Source organism: Homo sapiens, chromosome 8 (assembly GCF_000001405.40).
Source record: "Homo sapiens chromosome 8, GRCh38.p14 Primary Assembly".
NCBI lineage: Eukaryota > Metazoa > Chordata > Mammalia > Primates > Hominidae > Homo > Homo sapiens.
In genome coordinates, this window is record NC_000008.11 from 123303803 (window position 1) to 123311468 (window position 7666).

The window sequence follows — 7666 nt, forward strand, 5'->3', positions numbered from 1 at the left end:
ATCTTGGAGGAAAAGCTTTCAGTCTTTCACAATTGGGTATGATGTTTGCTGTGGATTTTCACATATAGCTTTACGTTGAGGTAGTTTCCTGCTATTCCTAGTTTGTTGAGTGTTTTTATAATAAAAGGGTGCTAAATTTTGTCAAATGCCTTTTTACTGAATCAACTGAGATGATCATGTGTTTTTCCCCTTCATTCTGCTAATTTAGTGTATTACATTGATCGATTTTTGTATATTGAATCATCCTTGCATTCCAGGAATACATCTTACTTAGTCATGGCGTACAATCCTTTTTTTTTTTTTTAATTGATATGGAGTCTCACTCTGTCACCCAGGCTAGAGTGCAGTGGCATGATCTTGAGTTACTGCAACCTCTGCCTCCTGAGTTCAAGCAATTCTCCTGCCTCAGCCTCCCAAGTAGCTGGGATTACAGGCGTGAGCCACCACGCCCGGCTAATTTTTTGTATTTTTAGTGGGGATGGGGTTTCACCATGTTGACTGGTCTGGTCTCGAACTCCTGACCACAAGTGATCCACCCACCTTGGCCTCCCAAAGTGCTAGGATTACAGGAGTGAGCCACACGCCTGGCCTACAATCCTTTTAATATGCTGCTGAATTCAGTTTGCTAGTATTTTATGGAGGATTTTTACATCAGTGTTTGTAAAGGATACTAAAGAAAACTACAAATATTTGTCTGTAGTTTTCTTAGGTACTGTCTTTGGATTTGGTATCAGGACAATTCTGGCTACAGAATGAGTTAGAAAGTGTTCCTTTGTTAAAATAATTTTTTTTTTTTAGAAAAGTTTGAGGATTGGTATAGTTCTTTAAATGTTTGCTAGAATTCACTGGTGAAGCCATCAGGTCCAGGGTTTTTCTTTATCAGGAAATTTTTGATTACAAATTCAGTCTCTTTGTTATTGATCTATTCAGATTTTCTATTTCTCTATGATTTAGTGTTGGTAGGTTTTGTGTTTCTGTAAATGTGTCCATTTCATCTAGTGTATCCAACTTGTTGGCATATAATTGCTCACAGTACTATTATAATCCTTTATATTTCTGTAACATCAGTAATAATGTCCCCATTTTCATTTCTGACTTTATTTCATTTATTTATGTATTTATTTACTTATTTTTGAGATAGAGTTTCACTCTGTCTCCCGGGCTGGAGTGCAGTGGTCCGATCTCATCTCAATGTAACCTCCACCTCCCAGGTTCAAGCAATTCTCCTGCCTCAGCCTCCTGAGTAGCTGGGATTACAGGTGCCCACCACACCTGGCTAATTTTTGTATTTTTAGTAGAGACAGGGTTTCACCATGTTGGCTAGGCTGGTCTCGAACTCCTGACCTCAAGTGATCCACCTGCCTTGGTCTCCCAAAATGGTATTACAGGCGTGAGCTACTGTGCCCGGCCTAATTTCTGACTTTAGTAACGTGTCTTCTCTCATCTTTTCCTAGTCCATCCAGCTAAAAGTTTGTTGATTGCATTGTTTCAAAGAACCAATGTTTAGTTTCATTAATTTTCTCTGTTGTTCTTCTATTCCTTATGTTGTTTTTCTCTGCTCTAATCTTTAATATTTCTTTTTTTCTGTTAGCTTTTGGTTGTTTGCTTTTTTTCTTCTAGTTCCTTAAGTTGTAAAACTAGGTTATTGATTTGAGATCTTTCTTGTTTTTCAATGGAAATGTTTATAGTCATAAAGTACCCCTTAGCACTGTTTCACTGTGTCACATAAGCTTTGGTATGTTGTTTGCATCTTCACTTGTCTCTATTTTCTAATTCCTCTTATGATGTTTTCTTTGATCCATTGGTTAAGAGTGTGTTGTTTAATTTCCAGAAGTTGTGAATTTTCCAGTTTTACTTCTATTGCTGATTTCTAACTCATCCTAATGTGATTGGAGAAGATACTTCATATCTTTTTACATGTATTGAGACTTAAATTGTGAAATATGGTGTATCCTGGAAGATGTCCCATGTTGCACTTGGGAAGAATGTGTATGCTGTTGTTGGGTAGAGCATTTTGTATATGACTCTTACATTAGTTGGTTTCTATTTCTTTACTTATCTTCTGTGTGGTTGTTCTATCCGTTATTGAGAGTGGGGTACTGAAGTCTCCAAATGTCTGTAGAATCATCTATTTCTTTTTCAATTCTGTCAGTTTTTGTTTGATATATTCTGATGGACTGTCATTATGTGTGTGTAATGGTTATAATGTTTCTATCTTCCTGCTGTATTGAACCTTTATTAATAAAAGTCTTTTTTTTGTCTCCTGTAAACTTTTCTTTTTCCTTAAAGAGTCTTTTGAATAATTTACAGATTTAAGATCTTGCTATTCACCTGCTTTCCATCAGCACAGATAGCCAAAATTTAGGTATACCTTTCATTCAAGAGAAAAATTAAGTGAGAGACTAACAGACAAAAGGAGATGACAGACAAAAGCCGGGATGGAGGTGAACGGATGGATATAAGGAGAAACATTTATTGAATGCATTCTGTGACTTTATTTCTCGTAAGCTTTTTAAAACTAAAATCTATTTTGTCTTATAGTCACCCTGCTTTTCTTTTGGTTACCATTTGGATGAAATATTTTTTGCTACCCTTTCACTTTCTGTTTTTTTTTTTTTTTTTTTTGAGACGGAGTCTCACCCTGTCGCCCTGGTTGGAGTGCAGTGGCGCGATCTCCACTCACTGCAAGCTCCGCCTCCCGGGTTCACGCCATTCTCCTGCCTCAGCCTCCCGAGTAGCTGGACTACAGGTGCCCGCCACCGCGCCCGGCTAATTTTTTGTATTTTTAGTAGAGACGGGGTTTCACCATGTTAGCCAAGATGGTCTGGATCTCCTGACCTTGTGATGCGCCCGTCTCAGCCTCCCAAAGTGCTGGGATTACAGGCATGACCCACCGTGCCCGGCTACCCTTTCACTTTCAACCTATTTGTGTCTGGATCTAAAGTGAGTCTGTCATAGACAGCATATAGTTGAATCATGAGTTTTTATTCATTTTGTCAATTATGTTTTGACTGGAGAGTTTAACTCATTTACATTTAAAGTAATTACAAATAGGAAAATACTTATTTCTGTCATTTTGCTTTATCCCCCTTATATGCCTTATAGTCTTTAACCTTTCATTTCCTGCATTACTGTTTTCCTTTGTCTTTAGTTGATTTTGCTGTGAAATGTTTAAATTCCTTTCCTGTTTCTTTTTGTGCCTATTCTATAGCGATTTTCTTTGTGTTTACCATGGTATTACCAAGTTTATAATGCTCAAATTGGAATTCATGCCATCTTAATTTCAGTAACATACCAAAACCCTCTTTTACAGCTCCATCCCCAATCCTTTATGTTGTTAATGTCACAAAACTACATCCGTATAAACCGTTTCTCCAAAAACATAAACAAATAATTTTTTTAAATTAATTACTTTCTTTCTTTCTTTCTTTTTTGAACCTGGGAGGTGGAGGTTGCAGTGAGCCAAGATCACAACACTGCACTTGAGCCTGGGTGATGGAGTGAGACTCTGTCTCAAAAATAAAATAAAATAAAATAAAATTAAGTGGAGTTACAAACCAAAGTTACAGTAACACTAGTGTTAGTACTAATAATTGTTTTGTGCTAGTGCTGCTTAACAAACCACCCAAAATGTAATGGCTTAAACAGCAAACATGTGTTTTCCTTTTTCTTTTTTTTGAGATGGAGTCTCACTCTGTCACCCAGGCTGGAGTGCAGTGGTGTGATCTCAGCTCACTGCAACCTCTACCTCCCAGGTTCAAGTGATTCTCCTTCCTCAGCCTCCCAAGTAGCTGGGATTACAGGTGTGCACCACCATACCCAGCTAATTTTGTATTTTTAATAGAGATGGGGTTTCTCCATGTTGGTCAGGCTGGTCTCAAACTCCTGGCCTCAGGTGATTCACCTGCCTCGGCCTCCCAAAGTGCTGGGATTACAGGCGTGAGCCACTATGCCCGGCCCAGTACTAATAATTGTTTTTAAATATATATTAGTCTCTCAAATAATGTAGAAAACAAAAAGTGCAGTTACAAGCCATTACTGCAATAACACTACTAGCTTTTATAATCACCCATGTATTTACCATTATTCAGTTCTTTATTTCTTCATACAAGTTCAAATTACTGTCTAGTATTTTTTGACATTTCACTCTGCAGGAGTCCCTTGACTGTTCTTGCAAGGCAAGTCTAGTGGTTACATACTCCCTCAACTTCTGTTTATCTTAAAATGTCTTAATTTCTCCCTCATTTTTGAAGGACAGCTTTTGCCAGATATAAGATCTTTGGTTGACAGTTTTTTATTTGATTTTTGTTTTTTAGCATTTTAGCTAACTGCCTTTGGTATTCCAATGTTTCTGATGAGAAATCTGTTGATAATCCCACTGAGTATCCTTTGTATGTGATGAGTTGCCTCTCTCTTGCTGCTTTCAAGATTCTTTTGCCTTTCAAAAGTTTGATTATGTGTCTTGGTGTGGATCTCCTTCAGTTAATCTTACTTGGAGAGTGAATTTCTTGGATGTTTATATTCATGTCTTTCATCAAATTTGGGAAGTTTTCAGCCATTATTTCTCCAAATATTTTCTCTGCTGCTTTCTTTCTTCCCCTTGTGGAACTCCCACAATGTGTATGTTAGTCTACTTTATTGTGTTCCACAGGTTCTTTATGCTCTGTTCATTTTTTTTCAATTTTTTTTTCGTTCCTCAGACTCAGTACTTCCCAGTATCCTATCTTCAAGTTTGCTGATTCTTCTGCAGATTTCTGTTCAACTATGCCTTTAAATCTCTTTACTAAATTTTGTCATTTTAGTTATTATACTTATCAGCTCTAGAATTTCTTTCTGATTTAGAGTTTGTGTCTTATTATTAATAGTAAAAGCAATAAAATAAATAAATAGCACAGTTTTACTTTCTCCACATTTTCCTTTAGTTCTTTGAGCTCTTTAAGACAGGCTTTTTTCTTCATACTACATGCCTCTTAGTATAAGACAGTTTTTAAAAGAGTCTTCGCCTAGTTTATCTGCCATCAGGTCTTTTTCAGAAAGTTTTTGTTGATTATTTTTTTTTTTACTTTAAATGGGCCATGCTTTCCTGTTTCTTTGTAAGCCTTGTGATTTTTTTGTTGTTGTTGGAAACTGAGCATTTAAATATATTACTGTAGTAACTCTGGAAATCAGATTCTTCCCCTTCCCCAGGGCTTGCTGTTTTTGTTACTGTTTTTGCTTTTTTAAAAAAATTTTTGTCTCTGTGCCAAGAATCAGCCTGAGCTGTAAACTTAAGGTCTTCTCAGCTTTTCTGAGCCTCTCTTTGGGCATGCACAGTAACTTTCTAATTTTCCCTGTGTATGCAGTTGTTGAGGCTTTTCTCTTCACTTTTTTTTAAGACAGGGTCTCTGTTACCCAGGTTTTAGTGCAGTGGCACAATCATGTCTTATTGCAGTCTCACACTCCTGGGCTCAAGTGATCCTCCCACCTTGGTCTCTCAAGGATCTGGGATTACAGGCATGAGCCACCACATCTGACAATATATGCAGTTGTTTTGAATGGCCTAGTCTTAATGTCCGGCTCCCCAAAGGGAAAAAGGGTGCCAGCCTTTTAAATACCCCGAGAGCCACAGGAAAAAGACTTGCAACATTGGAGGGAAGTGCAACAATGGCCATCCACCTTCATCTGTACCTTTGTAACCAGGAGGAGCAATCAGAGCACAGATCCCTGATATTTGGAGGACAGGGTCCTTTCTGCCCACTCTGGCTCCAACAAATTGTGTGTAAGCTGCTGCAGGAACACGTGCACAGCTGCCTGTCACAGGGCTGATTATGGGTAACTACTACTGTGCTAAAAGCTGAAATTGACTGAATTAACCACAATTTAGTGTCCAAGCCTTCCCCTGGAAGTTGCAAGCCTTGAACAGACCCTAGAATTCCAAAATAGTAACATCAGACTGATTTTGCCAGTACAATTGTCTTCCAGGTGGGGAGACAGATTCCTGGTGTTTCCCACTCCACCATCTTCCCAGAAACTTTACAGTATATGTGTTAACCAGCAGTGTTTTATGCCACCTCCCCCACACTCCGAAATGCAATAGAAAAGTAAGGGTAGGGATAACTGGTGTCCCCTCTCACCACTGCATTTAATAACCCACTGGAATTTTTGCTTTCCATTCCTGAGACCTTGGGATCAGAGACTTTAGAATCTTATCTTAGTGCTCAAGGAAGAAGCTCTCACCAGAGAACATGATCATGGTTCCAATTGATTGGCCGCTTTTAGGTCCCCATGCCACTGAACCAACTGGCAAAGACAGCAATTACTGTACTGACCAGGGTAATTGATTCTGATTATACTAGGGGGAAATATGGAAGCCAGGAAAAGTGTTTGCAACCCAGGGAATTCATTTGGGATGCTTTTAAGTACTCCCTTTCAATAGTCTTGGTCACTGAAACACTGCAATAGACCACAAAGAATTCATATCTTGCAGGAATGAAAATATGGGTTACCCTATTAGGTAAAGAACCCTGTCCAACTGAGGTACTGATGGAAGGGAAGGGCAATAGGTAAATGGGTGGTGAAAGGCAGTTCTGATTGCCAACATAAACCTTTGAGTAGATACGGAGGTAAATACTATAGCAGCCGGTTTTTAAATGATCTTCTCTCTTCCTTCAACCTCCATTACCTTATATGAGTAACTCTGGTTGTGGTATCATTTTCGGTTTCAGGTGGGAATGAGTAAAATGACATAATCACACAATGATTCAGTATCTAATGGACTTTTTATATCCCTGATGTTAAAGACATACTTTTCACATGGACAAAGAATAAAAGTGGATACAGGGGAGCAAAAGGGGTAGACTGTGCCAATTATTTTAATTTGTCCTCCATCCTTCTTCACTCTACTCCCTGCTCTAGAAAGCTGACCATATAGATTACAGCAGTGGGCTCTGTAAGTGTGGTTTTGACCTTGTTTGACTAACTGGAAACCCTAGCAAGAGCCTGAAGAGAAGAGAGTGAAGTCAGAGCACTTTTTCTCCTGGTTCCCTTTATGAGGTAATGTTGCCTGGGGCTGAATAGACGCTGTGACTGCAAATCACTGCTTTTCTCAAGGTGGCAGACTACACGCAACTTCCTTTGGGTTTCAGCAGCCACTCCTCATCCATTACAGCCTAGGAAAGGTAACTAGGGCCAAGTGACTACTTGACATTCCCCTACACCAATAATCTTTCCTTGAGTTATTCTGTCTTCAGTATGGTGTTTCCTAATGCCCAAGTGGATCTCTTGCACAACACGTACAACAGACGGAAGGTGCAAGAATGTCCTTAAAACAGTTTACAATAATCAAAACCTGGAAAAACTCTAAGTGCCCCACAGTAAAGTGGATTGATAAACTGTGGTTTACTCACAAAATGGATTCTATAGCAGTCGAATGATATACAATATGCAATCCTATAAAAAACTTTAGCAATAACATTACGTGAAAAAAGGAAGCTCCAGAAAATATCACACATGTAGTAGTAGCATAATACCCTTTCTCTAAGGTAAAAATCTGATATTTTAAAACGTGATTTGTAGGAACACACAGATGCAATAAAATTACATACAATAGAAAGCGAGGAATGATGAATGATTGAGGATTATAATTATAGTGGGTGGTAATGGGTTAATGTGTCCAATAGGTGATTTG

The 7666-nt window shown here is 38.4% G+C and overlaps 1 annotated feature.

The window, feature by feature from the left end:
• Positions 6927-7221: a silencer, noted in NCBI's record as "tiled region #1385; HepG2 Repressive non-DNase unmatched - State 22:ReprW". NCBI's record gives its function as "represses a minimal TATA promoter and a strong SV40 promoter by Sharpr-MPRA in HepG2 cells {active_cell/tissue: HepG2}" and the evidence as "EXISTENCE:reporter gene assay evidence [ECO:0000049][PMID:27701403]".